Consider the following 21,140-nt stretch of genomic DNA (forward strand, 5'->3'; position numbering starts at 1 on the left):
CCCACCAAAACTCATGCGATCTGCACATCCTTTTCAGCTTTGTTATTAAGTTCTTAGTAAACAGCACAGCTACCATTCATTGAGTACTTCAGCGCCAGTTCCTTGAGCGCTAAGGGCTCCACACACATTTTCTCATTTCATTCCAACCACGACTCTGAGAGCTGTCATTCCCATTGTCCAGCTGTGGACGTCAAGACTCATAAAGGTTACTGATTTGTCCAGGATCACCTGGTTAATAAGCGACAGAACCAAACTTCAAATCAGATTAGGCTATCTGACTCCAGAGCCCAAAAAAAATTTGGTTTGACTTAATTAGCAGGTATCAACCCACATTTTGAAGGGACATTTTAAAACACCGCTTAAATAAATTAAATTTAAAGATGCCTATAATCCAGGAATTTTCCAGAAATAAATACTTCATCCAATATATTCCTTTATTCAAATTATAAAGCAGCATGTTCTGACCACTGTCTGTGCCCTCCCCTTCCACCGAGCCAGTCTCCAACCTCCCTTTGCTGTCACAGGCCCCAGGGCTGACCTCTACAGATGGGCTCAGCAGGGTGCCTTGCCTCCTGGCCACCTGTCAGGGTTGGTTGACGTGGCCCCCTCTGGAGAGCAGGGGTGAGAGGAGAGGGGTATCTCTTCCCCTCACCTTCCCACCACCGACACCTGCCGCCCAACCTCCCTGGGCGCTTGGTTATGGTTCTGACTGCAGCTGGATTCTAGGGGGACCTCTCCCGTCATGGGGCCCCTCCTTCCAGGCTCCAGCCTCCAGTACCTGGTCCCCAGCCAGTCTCTGGTGCTCTGCAGATCTCAGCCAAGCCATCAGTTCTTTTTTGGCACTAAAAATGCCTTTTTTAGTTTACATTTTTAGAAGCCATCACTTGCTTTTTATCACCTGTAGTTTTTTGTTTGTTTTCTCCTTTACAATGGCTCTTTGCAGTAACAAATGCAAAATAAAAATAAACAATATGATTACAGAACTTGAGACATTTTCGAAGGCTGTCTTTCAAATTTGCTACTGAGCGCATTACTGTAGTGACAAGTGAAAGCATTCACAGGAGTCCTCCCCACATTCACATCTGTCCTTTCTGACCTCTCACGGTACAGGCACACCCATTCCAACCCAATTGCCTCTCATGAAGAGCATCTACCTCCAGATCTGCATGCTCCACATCTGTCTTCAGTCTCCCTGGAGGCCTCCCAAGATTGGCGGAGCTTGGCTCACCAAGAAGATGACATGCTGGGAACCTTAGGCATTTTTTTTCTATAACCAAATTTCTAGGTCTTGGAAAATATGTACTTCCCCCCACCCCCACCCCCAGGCCTAAAGTCCCTCTGGGGGATGAGAGTTACTGAAAGTACAGAGGGAGTGAAGTGCAGTCCTGAAATTGAACCGGGAAGCAGATGAAGGTGACCAGGCTCCTGGTGCTCTCGTGGGAGAAGAGGCTGGGAGAGGATGGGGCCTGGCTGAAGGTTTCTGGGAGCATAGGAATCCTCAACTCCCCTTATCCTAAGAGCAGCAGGTGCCACAGGAAAACACCACTCTGCTCCTGGGGTCATTCAGCCCGGAAGGGGAGCGTCTGCAAGCCATCCTCACAAAGGGAGGGCGTCCCACTGCACAACCCTGCTCTGGGGAGCACATGGCTATTTCCGTATGTCTGGACATTCTCTCTGGACTAGTTCACTCCGCACAGTTCCTCCCTGCCTGCACACACATGCTGACGCTCACACCAGGGACTGAAGCTCGTCCCCCTCCCCTCAAACCCAGGCTGACCTGTGGCTGCCTCTGACCTGCAGAACACAGCAGAGGGAAGGTTTCAGGAGTCCCAGGCTCAGGCCTTTATGGAAGTGGGAGCTTCCCCTTCCTGCCTCCTGAAACCAAGTCCCCATACCCTCAGCAGCACAGCACATGGCAGAGGACCGAGTGCCCAGTGGGGCAGCCAGCACCAACGCCAGGCCCGGGAGGGAGTTGTCCTGGACAGTCCAGAGAACTGACTCTCAGATGACCACGGCCCCTGCCGACATCAGGGAGGCAGCTTCCAGCTGAGTCCAGTCAGCCCACAGAATCATGACCAATAATAAATGGGTTGTTGTACTAAGCTGCTAGGATTTGGGGTAGTTTATTACACACACAGGTCATTGAAACACCCTGTAAGTGCTCTAGAGGCACGGAGAAGATAGAGGGTAAATAGCTTGTTTCACTGTCACTATGGATAAGTACAAAGATGGTTCCAACACTCAACTCCTCCTGTACCCATGCTTTTTGCCACATAACTTTGTGATTCTTCCCATTAAAGAGGTAGAATTACTTCCCAACCCTTATTTTTGGGCGGCCTATATGATCTGCTTCAGCCAACAGGCAGTAGCAGAAAGACAAGTATGACAGATCCTAGCTGAAGCCTCAGGAGGCAGGACATGTTCCCCTTTGCTTTTCTGTAACTTTCCACCAGCATGGGAACATGGCCAGATGCATGCGGGAGGATGAGAGGTACCTGAGGCAGAGTCACCCACCCCAATCACCCCACCAAGACTACGTTTGATCATCCCATAGACAACCAAAACCCCAGACATGGGAGGGAGGCAACCAGACCAGCCGCTAGCCAAGTCCAACCAGAATGGCCAACCCACAGGCTCATGGCTGAATAAGTGCTTACTGCTTGAAGCCACTGAAATTTGGGGAATTTGTTACACAGCATTTTTGTGACAATAGATTACTGACATACACTTTGCAATGTACAATCAGATTACCGAGATCTTCGTTAAAATTTTTCTAGCCAGTGATAAAAGGAGACTCAAACAGGGCATTTCAAAGGAAGCCACTTCATCCCAACACAGAGACATAATATTTCCACTCACCTACGAGACATGATCTCAAACCCTAATCCTGCCCTCAAAATGGGTTTGGAAACTGAAGGATAACCAAGAAACCTCCACCAGAAGCCTCCATGGGATTCCCAGAGCCCTTCCCAGGAGCAACTGAATTCTCACTTCACATGATGCCCTGCCAGCCTCCCCTGGATTCCAAAAATCAAAACATCCTTGGATATCCAAGACCGCAGCAACATCATAGAAGTTACAGCAGCCACTCGGTCTGTAACCAACCAAGACATAAACTAAATGAGCAACTGTTTGAGTCTCTTGTTTCTTATGGGGAAGTTTTGAGTACTCAGGTTGCATCAAGTATAAAATGACAGGGAAGGGAATAGATAGAGATTCCAGATGCAACACAGTCCTGATCCTTGAGGGATCGAGATGGGAAACAGATCTGTTTCATACAGATATGAAGCGGTCAGTCCTGAGAGCAGGCAGTTAGTGGAGGTGCCCAGTGAGGCGTGTGGATATACCTAGAGGAAAGAGAGAGCTGATTCATGCAGAGACAAGAGGGTGCCACCAAGGAGCCTTGATGAACAAGAAGCATGAGGACTGGAGGAAAGAGGGTGAAAGGCATGAAGCAGGGAACCTAAGTTTCTCCCAGCTCTGCCACATTAGAGACCAAGGGCGTATGAGCTTCTCACACCGCCACCACCAGAGTGATCACACACCAAAGGGATTCACTCAGCACGCAGCGTGATGGCACTGCCACCCTCCACACCAGCTCAGCGAAAACCCAACGGACCTAAAGACCAGGAGAATAAAAGCTCAACCACCCTCCCCTGCCTCCTCAACCCACACGGATCTCTGACTCTTTTTTTTTTTTTGAGACGGAGTCTCTCTCTGTTGCCCAGGCTGGAGTGCAGTGGTACGATCTCGGCTCACTGCAACCTCTGCCTCCCGGGTTCACACCATTCTCCTGCCTCAGCCTCCCAAGTAGCTGGGACTACAGCCGCCCACCACCACGCCTGGCTAATTTTTTGTATTTTTAGTAGAGACGGGATTTCACCGTGTTAGCCAGGATGGTATCGATCTCCTGACCTCTTGATCCACCCGCCTCGGCCTCCCAAAGCACTGGGATTACAGGCGTGAGCCACCACGCCCGGCTAATTTTTTGTATTTTTAGTAGAGACGGGGTTTCACCGTGTCGGCCAGATGGTCTCGATCTCCTGACCTCGTGATCCACCCACGTTGGCCTCCCAAAGTGCTGGGATTACAGGCGTGAGCCACCACACCTGGCCCTCTCTGACTCTTTTTGCAGCCATTTGAGTGCCTGTTCTTTTTTACCATTTCAGAGGTATTTTATGGATTTTTTAAAGAGTACTTCTAATTTACTTTTGTGTTCCTAATGGTCATTTCTCAAATATGTAGTAGTTGGTAACCAAACAAACTAAAACCATACTAAAAATTTTTAGTAGTTGGTGATAGTTTCATGTCACTGTAGGAACCTTTTTATTTTCTATTTTACCTGCCTTTGAACCCTTGCAGAACTTCACTCTATGTTGATTGAAAATCATTTCTTTAATACTTGTTTCTTGCAATAAACTCATTTGCTAAGGTATATACTTCCATATGATTTTGTGTTTCATGACCCAGCTATATTTTATTATTGGGTATCTTAAAGAAACAAAAAAGGCCTTAACAATAACAGAATTCTACTTGTGTCACTTCTTTGTTTTTGTTTTCAAAATGCCAATGTCTTACTAAATAGAAACAAACTTGATTTGAATTACGTAAGCTCTAACCACATAAAAAAGATGGACTGGTACCCAAGGTAGAAGGGAAAATAAGCATTTTGTAATTATGGAGGCAGTATTGCAAAATGGTTAAGAGAAGGCCTAAATATTTGCAGGGCTGGTGCAAGAAAATAGATGGAAGTTTGAGACCCCTCGACCCTACCCCTCCTCTCTTCTCAAACCCAATTGTGTTCTGCGGGTTAGGGGATGCATATAGTCACGTGGACATCCCGATCCACATGGCCACACTCCATTCAGCAATGCTCCCTGCTCATCTTTCAGACCCAGGGAAACACACACAAGATCTTCCCAAGAAGATGAACTCCAGGAAACAGGCTGGTGCAGCCCAAAAGATGCTCAGTCAAGTTTGGAAAGGCACTCTGGGTGCCCCAGCACCTGGGGCATGTCCTGGAATGGGGATGGGTTCAGCTGGGGAGGGCAGGAATGGGGCCTAGAAGGCATAGGCAGGACGCTGGGCTGGGGGCAGTGCTCGATATGAGCACAGTGCAGAGCCAGATGAGGGATGGAAATCAGATCTGCCACTTACTCCTTGGAAACCTATAAATGATCACTTTATCCTCCAAGAGCCTTAGTTACACATTTGCACAATGAGGATAATATTACTGTAGTATAATAAGAACTCCATTTGCCCTTGTCTCTCGTTTCTGGCATGGAGCTCCTAAAACTCTGGGAATTTCCCAAGTGATGGGAGCATCTTTTGTTCTAAGAAGGCAGCAGGTTGGTGAGTCCCTAGATAGCTTCAGGATGGGGGCTAATTGCAAGAAAGAGTGAGTCTTGATTAGATGCTCAGAACCTTCAGCCCCATTTCCCAACCTCTCAGGAGAGGAGAGGAGCTAGAAATTGAGTTGATCCCCAGTGGCCAGTGATTTAATCAATCCTGCCTATGTAACAAAATCTCCATAAAATACCCTGACGGGGTTAGGACAGCTTCTGGGCTGGTGAGCATATTGGTATGAAGAGTGTGGTGCAACCCAATGCTAAAGGGACAGAGGCGGCCAGGCGCGGTGGCTCACGCCTGTAATCCCAGCACCTTGGGAGGCCGAGGAGGGTGGATCACGAGGTCAGGAGATCGAGACCATCCTGGTTAACACGGTGAAACCCCATCTCTACTGAAAATACAAAAGATTAGCCGGGCGTGGTGGTGGACGCCTGTAGTCCCAGCTGCTCAGGAGGCTGAGGCAGGAGAATGGCGTGAACCCGGGAGGAGGAGGTTGCAGTGAGCCGAGATCGTGCCACTGCACTCCAGCCTGGGCAACAGAGCGAGACTCCATCTCACAAAAAAAAAAAAAAAAAAAAAAGGGCAGAGGCTCCTGTACTTGGAATCCTTCCAGACCTTGCCCTGTGCACCTCTTCATCTGGTTGTTCATTCATATGCTTAATAATAAACTGTAATCATAAGAGCATAGCGTTTTCCTGAGTTCTAGCAAGTTGTTGCACCTAAAAGGGGGGTTGTGGGAACCCCCAATGTTGTAGCCATGTCAGACAGAGTGTAGGTAACCTGGGGACCCAATACTTGTAACTGGCATCTGAAGTGAGGACGGTGTTGGGGAGCTCAGCCCTTAAACCCATGTGCTAACTTCCGGTAGTCAGTGTCAGAACTGAATTGAACTGTTGGACACCCAGTTGGTATCAGTGTTGAATGACTGGTTGGTACTGGCGAAGACATGATGTATTTGGTGTTGGGAAACATGAATAAAAAATTTGTAAAACCTCCAAACGATGTTCAGCAATTCACAAAGGTGTCAGTGCAAGAGTTGGCCTGTATCTATTCTAACTGGTCAGTATGCAAGTTGAACCATTGTTTGATTATCTCCTCTGTCTACACCATCAGGCTTTTGTGAGGATTAAACTAAATTATGCCTCAGAAAGAAAACTCTCTCAAGGCTAGGCACATAATCAACACTAAACAAGTGGTAATCATTATAATTAAGAAAGTAAAAATATTTCAAATGGACGATTTTGATACTGTATAAAATGTTGCAACTTTTTTTTTTTTGAGACGGAGTCTTGCTCTGTCGCCCAGGCTGGAGCGCAGTGGCGCAATCTTGGCTCACTGCAACCTCCACCTCCCGGGTTCCACTGATTCTCCTGCCTCAGCCTCCCGAGCAGCTGGGATTACAGGCACGTGCTACCATGGCTGGCTAATTAAAATGTTGCAACTTTTTAGGAAAAATAATCCTCAATAAATAAATTGCTAATTTTCATAAGAGCCCTTTGTCAACTGACTAAAAACATCCTTAATTTAGAAATGTATTTTTTAGTTTTAAGATAACTAGTCATTAAGTGAAAACATTGTAGGCAAAATGGCTCTAAGCAATTTAGTATTCATAGGAATGAATCCATTCCTTGAAAGCATTGGTCGCTGGGTGCACTTGTCCTGGATGAGCAGATATTAGGCAAATCAGTCTTTCACCAGCAAACCCTGCCATAAGAACTGCACAGGCCTGATTCCTGCCAAGCACACCAGGCCCCTGACTGGGGCAGAGGCCTCCCTTATGGGGCAGGAAGAAGGAGGCAGGGAGAAACATAGGGCCCATGATTTAAGGAGGCTCTCCCTCTCAGGCTCATGCAAGTGCAGGATCAGTACCTAAAGGGGAGCACCGCCCGAAATCCTGTGCCCCAGTCACCTTAACCCAGTCCAGCCCTGGCTCCTGCACTCCAAAGCTAAGCAGGGAATACCAGCGGGAGACAGAAGACAGCATGAGAAACTGAATGCATCTCCCACATTTATCTAAAAATAAGAAAATGGACTTCTTCAGTAGGAAATGGCTCATCTTTCCAAATGAATAAAAATACTTATAGCTATGGGTTGAATTGTATCAATTCTCTCCCCCAGTTCATGCACTGGAGTACTAACCCCCGGTCCCTCGGGATGTGATGATAGAGAGGTAGGGCCTTTACAGAGGCAATCAAATTAAAGTGAGGTCATTAGTGACCTAACCCAATGTGACTGATCCACTTACAAAAAAAGGGACAAGATTTAAAGACAGACCTGTATAGAAGGACGATGGTGTGAAGACACAGGGAAAAGACAAAAGAGGCCTGGAACAGATTTTCCTCAAAGCCCTCAGAGGGAACCACTTGGGCTGACACCTTGATCTTGGACATCCAGCCTCCGGAACGGTGAGATGATGAATTTCTGTTGTTTTAAGCTACCCAGTTCATGGCAGTTTGTTACAACAGCACTGGGAAAGGAAATCACCTCTATGGAGGGACTTACGAAAGTCACTTAACTAATGCAGATTAGAGGCCTCACAGTCAGGGCATGGCCTCAAGAGCCACATCCATTTTAATTGTACCATTTCTCACTGAACTCTGACCCTGGTCAAGGCATGTCTCAGGCTCCATGGACTACTATTCCTTCCACTGATCGACCCTGGCTTCATTCTGGCAAGGGAGGGACTCATACATTCTGCGGCCTGCATGAGTGTCATGTGAGCACCCCCATAACCTTGATCCCTGCGGTGCTTCTCCAGGGGAGCCCTAGCATTCCAGCTGGCCTCATGGGCATGCCTTAGAGAGAGGGAGCTGACCCTCTCCTTCTTCAACTGGATTTTATTTTTATTTTTTGGCATGTTTTGTGAATACAAAGATTCACTGCCTGGGTGTGCCCCTTGAAAGAAGGTTTCAATTGCATTCAGGTGAAATAACCACAAAATGACTGTAAGCCAAATGTAGTAGTATGATAGAAAAATGGAAATATCGTAAAAGCACCAGTCTGTAGACACCTAGCTTCTGGTTCCTCTGGAAAAGGGAGAAGAGAGTAGACAGTGATGGAGAAAAGAGGGGCTGTGAAGACTATAGAACTGAGAAGGCAGTAATTCTAAAATCTCCACACTGTAGGGCCAGGAACAGGCAGTGCTGGGCAATGGGGCATCTTATCTCAGGGAAGTCAAGGGTGTCATGTAGAACCAACATAATTCATCCAAGTACAGCAAAGAATCCAGAAATGGTCTGTGGAGGTTTGGAACCATGAAAATCAAATAGGAAAGATACAAAATATTTACATATCCACATTTTTTAAAAGGGGTCCTGACTAGGCAGCATAAGATTATTTGGGTTCTGTTCATTTTACCTTTAGTTGCCCTTGGTTCTGCCATCTTTTTTCTCTGTGAGTCATTTGTCTTGCTTTTGGTCAACACGGCTTTCCTCGGGTCTCCAAAGATCCTGGAATAACCTGAATATAAGTTGAAGAATATTAAACCTTATTTTGTTTTCAAATATTAATACCAGGGATCAACTGTACATGTACCGACAAAACCTATTTCTTAAACATTATTTTAAAATATCCTAAAAGGGGAAAGAACTTAAATCCTTCCCCTTAAAAAAAGAGGGGACAACATTCCTCTCCTCTGAGGGAAGCCCAGCATTATGAAGCAAAAATCGGGAGTGAAAGCAAGGCCAAGCCTAACTGGCATGCTGAAGCACACAGATGCTTTTGCACAGAAAATATTTTGAAAATGTTTTCTTTTCCTTATAGCCCCCAGCTTTGGTAATAATGGCTTCCCTAGATCATTCTGTTAGCACTTTCTGCTGCTCAGAACAGGGTAGTGGGATTTAGAATTTAGAAAACATCCCGAGAACTGTAATTAAGCAATTGTCATAGTCCCAGAAAAGAAACAACCCTTTTACTTTGTAAATGCTAGGAGGATCTGTATTTTTTAAAATCTTAGAACACTAACTAGCTAAAAAGATAGAAAGAAAAAAATCTTTCTTACAATATGCCTGTAGCACGGCTCCAAAATCCAGTCCCTCTCTCTCTTCTTTTTTTTTTTTTTTTTTTTTTTTTTAGATACAGGAATTTCTTACACAACTTTCCAAGTAAAATATTCAATCCCCAAATAATATATTTAGTAGAATCCTTACAACATGAGAAATTGTAAATGGCATCTGTTTCCGTTGAAAATATTTTTAAATTAGAAAACATCTTAAGCACTGCATCAAATCAATATTTGTAATGGGCAGAATTATTTCTAAATGGTTCCACAGGCCAGTTGACATTCCCACTCTACTTAGGAAGCCCCCAGCCAACTCCACCTGAAGTCTTCGAAACCTATGCATAGAGGCAAATTGCCCAGATGTCACAGAAAAGCATTTGTTGTGATACAGAAAATAAAACACATTACTGGGGGAAAAAAATCAGGGTACTAAACCACGTACATAATATCATCCCAATATTGCACAAAGAAAAAAAAATAAGTGGATGAAATAAAAGAGGGAAGGCAGGAAAGGAAAGAGGATGACCTGAGAAAAGTTATCAAAATGGTTAACAGTCATGGTCTTTGGCTTTCCAGTGTGAAATAGGAGTTCTTATTTTCCTCTTTTTAAAATATTTTTAAAATTATTTATTTTTTAAACCAACTAATAAAAGTAATATATATTTACCGTGTACAACATTATGTTTTGAAATATATATATATATATATATATATATATATATATATATATATATATATATATATATATACATGTTGGAATGGCTAAAGTAAGCTAATTAACATCTGCATTACCTCACATACTTATTTTTTTGTGGTGCGAACACTTGAAATCTACTCTTAGTGATTTTCAAGAATATAATGCATTGTTATTAACTACAGTCAATAGATCATAGGTCTATTCAAGTTCAAGTCACAGATCTCTTGAAATTACTCCTCCTGTCTAACTGAAATTTTGTGTCCTTTGACCAACATCTCCCCAGTTCCCCTACGCTCAACATCACTAATCATCAAGGAAATGCAAATCGAAATCATGATGAGTGTCATCTCACACCTGTTAGAATGGCCATTATCAAAAAGACAAGTGTTGGTGGGGATGTGGAAAAAGGGAACTCTTGCCCACCGTTGGTGGGAACGTAGATCAGTACAGTCATTATGGAAAACAGGATGGAGGTTCCTCAAAAACACAAAGATCAATTACAAAACAAAATACTATATGTTTTACAAATGTACTACAACTCAATTTGGTATGTATTACAAATCAAAATACTACATGATTGCTGGCAATCCCACTCTGGAGATAGATCCAAAGAAAATGGAAAATGAAATCGGTATGTCAAAGAGGTACCAGCCCTCCCAAATTCATTACAGCATTATTCACAACAGACAAGGTATGGCATCAACCTAAGTGTCCATCAACATAAACGCCCATAAAGAAAAGTGGTGCACATACACAATGGAACACTATTCAGCATTTAGAAGAGAAATCCTGTCATTTGTGACAACATGAACAAACCTGGAGAACTTTATGCTAAATGAAATAAGCCAGGCACAGAAAGACACATACTGCATCCTCTCACTTATACATAGCATCTGAAAAGTTGAACTCCTATTTCCTTCTTTATAGTTTTGTGTATTTTCCAAATTTTCTAAACCAAAAATATTCATCTTTATAATCAGGGGAGAAAACTAAGGAATAATCATTTTATAATCCTAAACATGCTTTTAAAGCATTTATTTCACTGTAATGTATTCTTTTCCCATCCAGTCATACATGGGCCCAAGGAGCTGGCCTTCCCTGCTCGGCAGCCTGATGTTCAAGGGGATGGGGGAGGGGGACGGTGCAGTAGATCATGCTTTGCAAAGCTGTGCAAATCTTTTTTTTTTTTTTTTGAGACGGAGTCTCGCTCTGTCGCCCAGGCTGGAGTGCAGTGGCACGATCTTGGCTCACTGCAACCTCCGCCTCCCAGGTTCACACCATTCTCCTGCCTCAGCCTCCCGAGTAGCTGGGATTACAGGCGCCCGCCACCACACCCGGCTAATTTTTGTATTTTAGTAGAGACGGGGTTTCATCGTGTTAGCCAGGACGGTCTCAATCTCCTGACCTCGTGATCCACCCGCCTCGGCCAAAGTGCTGGGATTACAGGCGTGAGCCACGGCGCCCGGCCAAAGCTGTGCAAATCTTGAGTTAATAAACATGTTCCCCAAATCCAAAAGCCAATATTGACTATTGCTTGGTTAACTGTTTTGCATGGATAAGTGGTTAAAGGAGTATTTGGTTTCCAATTTCTGCAAAGGGAATAAAAGTTTTAAAAGCGTGAACTAAGATTTCCTATACTATGCTATTCTATAGTAGGTTTTTATGCCAAAACCTCTACTAGGCTGAAAGGATAATTTGATTTATGGTTGAGACATTGTTGGGCCTGATTTAAAGCCCAGAGTCAAGCCCAGAGAGGATTCTCTTAAATATGTGCAATGGGTATTTTTAAATTAGCATTATGGCGTTATTAATATTTCATTTATCCTGAGAGCATTTACCTGACAACGTAAATTATGTGTAACACAGCTGAGAAGCCACAAAGGATCCAAAAAGATGTCACGAAGTCCACGAAGAGAAGCTTTGCCAGAGAAAGGCACACTACCAGCCGCGTGAGCTGGCCTCATCAAAGCAAAAAAGTCAGAAAATTATGTAAACCAGACTCAAGAACTCAAAAATACAGTCGTTTGAGAACATTGGTAAGAGTGCAAACTGCTCACCCCAGCTCAATCACCCCTGGTCCAGCAACGGCAGAAAGCCAAGGTCAAGGAGTCACATGACCTGAAGAGACACCCCCCACCACCACCACCACCCTCCAAGCCCTGCCCCTGGCCAGTGGGACAAACCACATGACCCCTGGGATTCAGTATTCAGTCAGGTTCTGTGTTCTGTATGGGGAGGTAGAAGAAGGCACCAGATCATCAGGAAATCTGGACTGGAAATGGCCAAAGCTGAACACATCTGAGTACCTGAAGGGTAAGCTTAAGGTGTCAAAGCAGCCATGGTGAGGCAGAAAGAACCTTGAGCTTGGGGCCCCAAGTTTATGCTGACCCACTAGCAGCCAACAAAACCTCCCTCAGCCTCAGTTTGCTCATCTGAAAACTGTGAGTAAGAGGCTCTGACTCCAGAGAGGTGGTGCAAGTTCAATGAGAAGGGGTTGCTGATGGTCCAGATGGACAGATGCAAAGCACTGCTTTCTGTTTTTGTCTTTGTTTTGATACAGGATTCTCTCTGTCATCCAGGCTGGTGTGCAGTGGTGTCAATAGCTCACTGCAGCCTGGACCCTCCCTGGCTCAAGTGATCCTCCCACCTCAGCCACCCAACTAGCTCAGACTATAGGAAAAAGAGTCATGCACCACCATGCCTGGCTAATTTTTAAAAAAAAAATTTTGGAGACATGAGATCTCACTATTTTGTCCAGGCCAATCTCGAACTCCTGGCCTCAAGCAATCCTCCTCTCTCAGCCTCCCAAAGTGCTTGGATTAGAGGGGTGAGCTACCATGCCCAGCAAAGGCATTGTTAAATTCAGGAATGAATGACCACCTTGTTCCCCAAAACACTAGACAAGAGAACCATTCTCTACGCACAGATCTCCCTGGCCACCACGTGTAAGCAGCAGTGAATATTCCATAGGTGGAACTGGCTACTGTGAAGAAAGAAAACTCCAGAAAAGCTACCCTCACTCCAAGAAGTAGCCTGGACCCCACGTGCGTGACAGCAGCCTGGGGAGAAGGCTCCACTCCCACCAGCAATGCCAAGGACAGAGCAGCAGCAGCCGTCCATCCCCACAGTTATGGTGAACACAGCCACAGAGCAGCCTGCTTTTTCCATGTATAGCCACACACAGGTGGCAATGGCAGCAGACGTAACTGGCTGCCCTTCCTCCCTTATGGAAGGAAACATAATTTTGCTTGGGTGTTCTGCCTGCCCCCACATGACCCACGGAGGATGACCAGCCCCAACACCAGTGTAAATCCTATCACTGGGCACCATCTCTTCTCACCACGGATTGGTTTAGGGAAGGGCACATGATATAATTCTGGTCAGTCTAACACTCGGGGAAGCGAGCTAGAGGACTTCTAGGAAAAGTGTTGGCTGATGAAGAAAGGCCATAGAGTAGTAGTCCTGTCTGTGTGGCACTTGGAACTGTGAGAGCCATCCCAGGACCATGAGAAGAGGTCACCTGAGGATAAAACCAATGTGCTGTGGATATCTGGGGGAAAGGAGGGAAGTCCTTGTGTTTCTACCTATGGTAGGGAAGAGTATAAACCAACTCTGAAGGCATCTCATGGCAGGGCAGCTAGGCACATCAAATGCATTTTCCTTGTTAACTAAACCATTTTGAATTGGGGTCATTTTTGTTGTTATTGTTATTACTGGCAGCAAAAGTATCCCATACACTCTAGTAGCCATGTTCAAAAAAGTCGCTTTCAGCTCTTTTACCATCTGTATCCATAGTCACGCAGACACGCTGAGTATGCTCTTCAGTTCTAATTTTAAAATAAAATGATCTGCTGGAAATTAGCTCAGCTCATAGATCTCCATACTTACAACACCGTATCTAAGAATTAGTAAATAACTATTACCATGATAAGTGGCCTATCTCAGTCTATCCACATGTTGAGTGTCCAGGTACTGGAGGTGGCATGGAACCTCCCCTCAATAAACAAAGGCTATGATGAGAGGTTATACTTTAAATTAAATTACTGAGTGGAGGCATAATGTGGTGAGGGTCACAAGAGAGGTACCAAAGATGCAGCAACAGAGCAGTTGATGGGCACTTAGCATTTCAGTAAGTGGGAATGGGGAGGAGAGCAGGAAAGGTGGAGGAAATAGATGAGGAGAGGAAAGAAGGGAAGTGTTCTCCAAGGAAGCACGCTGCAGGGAAAGAGTCTTTCACCTGTATGTCCCACAAGGCACAGAGTATGAACTCAGAAATGTTGAATGATTTGTCTCTATAATTAAGGGATGATTTCACTGATAATGTTGTCTTCTTCCATGATCTAAATTCAACCTGCCCTTCAAATCCATTCATTCATACAATTGTTCATCCATCCATCCATCCATCCATCCATCCATCCATGTATTCATGTATTCATTCATCTATCCATCCATGTATTCATCCATCCATCATCCATGTATTCATCCATCCATCCACCCATCCATCCATGTATTCATCCATCCATCTATCCATCCATCCATACGCACTGAGTTCCCTCCATGTGCCAAGCACTGAGCTAAACACTAACTAGGGTTGGGCTTTGCCAATGAGTTCAGAGCCTAGTGAGAGAGACAGAGTTGTAAAGAAAAAAATCACAAATGCCAACTCCCCCATTGCCTTGCTTGATCCTTAATGCCAGAGTGTAGCTTGGTTGAGCATGACAATCAGCTGGAGAGCTTTTTAAAAACAGAAATTCTGCAATCCTTCCTCTTTTTTCTTTATTGGAAAGTCCAGGGGTGAAAGGGGCAAAAGAGTCTAAGTGGGAGTTAGGGAGGCAGAAGAGGATTGAAGGCAGTGTCTGAAATATTTTCAGACTGAGAAGGAAAAGGAAAACAGCCAAGAACACAAGGAGGAGCAGTCAGAGCATAAGGAGGAAACTAGGAAAGATCTAAGTCATGGAAGCCAAGGAAGGACATTCAGTAAGATGGAAAGTTCAGTGTCGCAACTGCAGAGAGATTCATGTCCAGGAGAAAGTCATTCAACCAACCATACGCATTGAGAACAGGTCCTGGATTTGGCAACTTAAAACCTCTTGCTGTCCTCTAAAAATGTTGTAGGAGCCTGACAGCATTAAGCCAAATGGCTCAGTAGTTAAAAACAGGGAGGATATGCAAAGGGCAATGTAGGCTACTCATAGAAGAAGTTGAGCAACAAAGTTAGGGAGGGAGTGGCAGTTCAAAGAAAAGCACTAATGCCACAGGGTGCAGTGGCTCATGCATGTAATCCCAGCACTTTAAGTCAGGAGTTCAAGACCAGCCTGGCCAACATGGTGAAACCTTATCTCTACTAAAAATACAAAAATTAGCCGGGCATGGTGGTGGACACCTGCAATCCCAGCTACTCAGAAGGCTGAGGCAAGAGAATCACTTGAATCCAGGAGGCAGAGGTTGCAGCAAGCTGAGATTGCACCACTGCACTCCAGCCTGGGGGACAGAGTGAGACTCCTCAAAACAAACCAACCAACAAACAAACAAAACCAAAAAAACAATGAAAACAAAAATGAAAAGCACTAACTGGCTTCACCCACCCAACATTTGCTGGGCACTTACTGTACTTCAGAAATTACTAGTAGCTAGGGATGCACTAGTGCACAAGACTCAGCCCTGCCCTCAAGGCATTTACAAACCAATGAAAAGAAGGTTTATCTTATTTGCTCAGTCTGTTTGAAGGATGAGAAAAGCAGGTATGTTTATAGACAGGATAAAGGGAGCCAGTGGAGTAGAGGAGATAGAGATTCTAGAGCCAGGGCACTTAAGGACGTTACTGTCTGGGGAAGAGGTAGAGGAAATGCCATGTTTCACAGCACAATGGTGGGGTCAGTTCTGGCAGGAAGGTGGGACCCCACTGTCTCAGAAGGGGTGTGCTGCCAGATGGCTAACAACAGGCTCTCACAGGAAAACTCCTGATTTGAAGCACTTGGTCATTTCTATGGAGTCAATATTTCCATCATGGGCAACTGCAAGGAACCCAGGGGAGTCCCTGAATGCAGAGTTGGGAAAAGATGTGCTCTAACGCATCATTGCCGGCTCTAGCGAGTTGGGAGGAGCCAGCTCTAGCACACATGGGCTCCAGAAGCCAAAGAGAGACCAAGAAGCCTGGAACTGTTGATAAGAAAAGAGTGTTCAGAGGAAAGCTGTGAAGCCAGCATAGCCAGCTGCTCTCCTAGGCGCTGAGACCCTGTGATGAGAGGAGAAACCAGGGAGGCGGAGTTCCAAATCTGGAAAAGTGGCAGGCTTGAGTGCTCTTCAGTTACTCCCACTTGAGCAATTTTGCTTTCTAAACCTGGTTAATAGCCCAAAATGTGGGCTGCTTATTGTCATCTCCCTTCACTGTGTGTGTGTGTGTGTGTGTGTGTGTGTGTGTGTGCTTTTCCTATGTAAACTGCTGCACCACTAACTCTGCTATACTTTAGAACTCAGTAAGGCAATCCTTAGACTCTTATACAATTCCCTAAAGGGTCCCCTTTTACTCTAAGTCACAGAGAAATGTTGAACATTTAAACCTTTAAAGTGCAGTTTTGCTGGAAGAAAATTTCAAGGGTCTCCATGAATCATGTCTGAGCCATGTATTGGCCATGACCGCATACTTCTTGTCAGTCTTATTTCATTTGGTTGTTATTGTGGTTTGGTTTCATTTCATGTTGCTTTGGAGGGTCAACCTTTCTTTCATTCATGACATTCAATCAACCTTTCTCCCCAGTGCGTCTTCCCATTTTTTATGTGTGTGTCAGGAGATAGAAAAATAAACACAGGTATTAATGTGCCTGTGGGCACCAGTTTGTAAAGCCCAAGACGTTCTTGGACCCAAGGAAACTTTCAGTTCTTTCTCAGCCTTGCCGTTTTGCATGTAAAGCATTTGAGCTGATCTCAGAGTTGAGGTGGCTGCCAGCTTCCACCAGAACAAAACACACAGCAGCAAAACAGCGCCATGTCCCTCAGTGTGGGAACCAGGGTCTGCCTGGGGCCCCCCTGTAAAAACGAGAGATCTGAAGGAAAACAGACAGCATTTGAAAGGCGGATGACATCAAGAAAGTAAAAGCAACTATAAATATGACTTCTCTCCTGCTTTACACTGAGCCTTCTGTTCAAGAAAACACATTTACCAGGGATTTTTTCCTTAAGCTCAACTGGAAAAACAAATATTTAGTCATTTTACAAGAGCAGACAACTGAAAAGCAAGCCACAGATTAAACAAGCATTATGTATTTCTAAGAAAGTTCATCAAACACAATATATCTTTGAGAACACAATCTTGAAGTCTGTTTTAGAGGCAAATTTGACCTTCAAAATGAATTTTGTCTCGATATAATTACAAGGTCAAATCTTAAAGAAGCAAATGCATAGACAACCATCTTTGCAATGAGATCTGTTTTATATTTGCAAATGAACAATACTGGACAGAAAAAAAATACATAATTACTTCTGAGGTTATATATAAAATACCCAATTGGCAATTAGCTAATATCATATTAGCATCTCAATATTTTAGATAAAGCAAAACTCCCAAGTACAAAATAATCTATAATAGAACAAAAATGGCAAGTCATATTAAAGAGAGATTACATATAAGAGACTTTATTACAAGTTATCATTTTTTAGATAAAATTTATTCTTTCAGCATCACTTTGATACTTGTAGGAGGCAGATATAGTATAGAGAGGCAGATAGAGGTGAGAACCTTTCCTAAGAAAAATCAAGCAGCATTAAAAGCATAAAGAAAAAAGAAGAAAAAATATTTCAGATTCCCAATTCGTATATCACATTGTTGACAAAAAAAAAATTAGAGAATACCAACAGGAAAAGGTTTCCTTGTGCTCTTTAAGGGTGGGGAATTTCAAAGAACCTTGAACTCATCATGAAAATAGTTCTATACCCATCGGCTTTGCCAAAAACACTTTGGGATTTCAGTGATGGGTACTGAGCCACCAGGAGCAATGAAACCAGCTTTTCCATTTCCACTGAGTTTTGACTGGTTTACAAGGATTGCACAAAGATCACCTCATTTGTACTGGACACAATTGGGAAATAAAAATTTAAAAATCATCCTTCATATTTAAAATAGAAATCATGAACCCCGCCACAAACATGCTTCCCCGACACTCAGGACCTGAGGTTGACAACATGCCTCCCCGTTAACCCATGAAGCCTCATAGGTATGCACTGCATCTATATAGAATTTTCCATGGACTCCATCATCAAAGCATCCTTTAACAAGTATGAACTGAGCACTCACCCCATGCACAGAGCTGTGGACGGGGCCATATGGGACAGAAAAGTTGCAAGGTGTGTCTCTCACTCCCAAAGAGCCCACATGCCTTGCAGGAGAGGAAGGCTGTGGACCCAGGTTTTGTGATGCAGATGAAGGGGCCACATAGCTGCTCCAGTAAGAAGAACTGGAATCATCTGAAGGAGAGGAAAATAGGGCATTTCAGCCTTGAATAGCAGAACCCAGATCATGAAAAATAGGAAGAACTTATATGGACGTCAGAGAGGAAGGCAATCCAGACAACAATAATAACTTAGGCAAAACAGAAATCAAATGCAGCTTGCAGAAGACTCTGTACAGGGAGCCAACACAGCTACTTTACGTGAGGAGTCAATGAGACCATTTAATAGAAGCCCCCTGTCGAAACTGTAAAAATGATTTTGCCATCTTGGCCATCTCCTGAGATGGCTGAGAAGGGATTTGCCAAGCAAAAAAAGAGTTGAGGGGTTTTGCACAATGGCCTGGAACAGAGAGGCTGGAGAGAAATCAGACAAGTCTCTCAGGCAGAAGTTCCAGAAAAATGAAGAAGCAGGAGAGCCCGAGGCAAGAGGGAAATGGCAGGCACATTGGTTGGACGATGAGGGTTTGTGTGGATCTCAAAGGGCCAAGACGTGGGGAGAGTCTAGACTTTTAGGCTAGGAAGTCCGAACCTTGTTGTGAAAATAGCTGAAGATTTTGGAGCACCTGCCGAGCAAAGTTTCCCAAAGAGGCTGTTGGGAAGATTCATGAGGCAGGAGACTACAGGGAGGGAAGGCCAGAGGCAGAGAGGCCAGTTCCAGGATGGCTGCCACGATCCAGCCCAAGGTAATGAAGGTGGGGAAGCCTCGGAATGCAAGAGACAGGGTGGAGATGAGAAGACATGTCAGAGCCTGGTGGCCAATTAAGCAGAGAAGGTGCAGGGAAGAGAGGAGAGCAGGATGGAAAGCCAGGAAATGTGGGTCTCAGTGAAGATGGGGAGTTCTGTTTCAGCCCCAAGAATGAGCATGTGCATCCTTGAACCCCGGGGCCTGTGAGGTTGGTCAATGGAAGCCCGGGAGCTCTGCTCAGTCAGGGTCTAGGACTGGTACTCCTGCTGGGGCCACCTCAGAGCAGAAGCAGGGCGGGAGCGGTGGAGGCTGGCTCTGAAGTGTTCTGCCCTTAAAGAACAGCAAGACTTTCCAGAGGCAGTGTGTAGCCTTTAAGATGGAGACTGTGATGAAGAATGGAGAGAGATGGAAAGAGCTTCTCAGTGACATGGGGAGAGGGTCCGCACCTGGAGGGCAAACCCTTCCTGGAGGGCAGAACCTCGCTGGCCATCTGGCTTCCCACACACCTGCCTGGTGAACCAACATATCACTAGGGGGTTCTTTTCTTGCTTGAAATGTCATTGAGTTTTCAATTTGTAGCATTCATGAGGTGCATTATGAGGTTTATTCAGCATTTTTTTTCTTTTGCTGAGAAAGGCACAATTAAGTACCAGAATTTTCTTTGCTGGCCTAGCCTTCTGGAATCTGAACAGGTTTTGCAATCCCAGGACCAGATCCTCTCTATATAAAAATTGGTGTGGGATTGGGGGGGGGGGGTCTCTTTTTATAATAGCTAGAACATCTTAATATTTTGTAAAAAATAAGCTCATCACGAACCCAGTTAACCCAGCAAGGCTACTGCCCTTCTTCTGTGTCGTGGTAACAGCTTTCTTCAGCAGTGCAAGGTGCAGGCAGAGCCTTTCATAGTTTTAATCACTAGGTCCATTTATTGAGAGAGCTTGAAAGGTGATTATTCCTGTTCTCATTTCTCAGAAAACTGAGGCATGTGAAGATCACAGGTAGGGTAAGCAAATGAACACAAATTCAAACTCGGAATTCAAAACCAGCCTCTGTGTATTCCTGAGGACCATACTGTCTGCTAAGTGTAGAGAAAGGCACATCCTGGTTCAACAGCAGAGAAAGCAAACAGGAGGCACTTTCTGTGAGTCATCTCCACCACAGGGCCCTCTCTTTTGTGATCCAGCGATACTTGTTCACAGTCAAAGCCCAGGAAGAGTGGAAAGATTAACCTTTGTGAGCCAAACCGTGTGACACTTGATTACTTGACAGAACTAATCCTTCTGTCCTGATGACAGAAATTCAACTACACAGGTACATGCAAGCTAATATCTGTTGTAATGCCTCCCAGTTTCTCTGGAGAATTCCTTAGTTTCCTGGACATCTCTGAAATGCAAAGTTTTGGCAACGAGTCTCTGAATTAACCTCTGAAAATCTCACCCAGCCAAGATGGCCTTCTTGAGAAGACTGAAGAACATGGTTGGTTTCAGGCTGAGCTGGAAGTGGTTTACCTCCCAGGAGAGGTTCCCCACAGTGGTGTTTAAGGCATGGGGTGGACCAACACCAGGAAGACTCAGACATCACACCACCCACCTTCAACTCAGTCACATCCACCTACATTTTCTGAAAACAAAAGGCAGTCTCCCCAAAAAGCACTGAGACTCTTGTGTAGGTAATCTGAGCAGACACCAACTTCCCAGGGCTTCCTTTTATCCAGGAGAGCTTGGCTGTTCTTTTTAATGGTAATATCTTCTTCTTCCTGCAGCACCGGGCTGTGGCCCACTCTGGAGAAAAGGAAAGATCATTGCTGGCCTGCCTTCCCAATTTCAGACTTGCCAGTCTACAATTGTGTAAACTAATTCCTTAAAATACATCTCATTATATCTATCATCCATCTGAATCTAGATGCATACATATGTATATACACATATGTACACAGTTATAAATATGGATCAATATAATGAGATG

The 21,140-nt window shown here is 44.6% G+C and overlaps 1 protein-coding gene across 7 annotated transcripts in view; it reads right to left on the reverse strand.

Moving 5' to 3' along the window:
* The window catches only part of ERG (ETS transcription factor ERG), a 294,523-nt gene that overhangs the window by 208,877 nt on the left and 64,506 nt on the right, over window positions 1-21,140 (reverse strand). For all 7 annotated transcript variants that reach the window (NR_111949.2, NM_001243432.2, NM_004449.4 and 4 more), the window contains one exon: window positions 8,707-8,808. The gene's annotated coding sequence lies outside the window, so the exon portion shown is untranslated. Of the gene's footprint in view, window positions 1-8,706; window positions 8,809-21,140 lie in introns of those variants that run through there.

Source organism: Homo sapiens, chromosome 21, assembly GCF_000001405.40.
Source record: "Homo sapiens chromosome 21, GRCh38.p14 Primary Assembly".
In the NCBI taxonomy this organism is placed as follows: domain Eukaryota; kingdom Metazoa; phylum Chordata; class Mammalia; order Primates; family Hominidae; genus Homo; species Homo sapiens.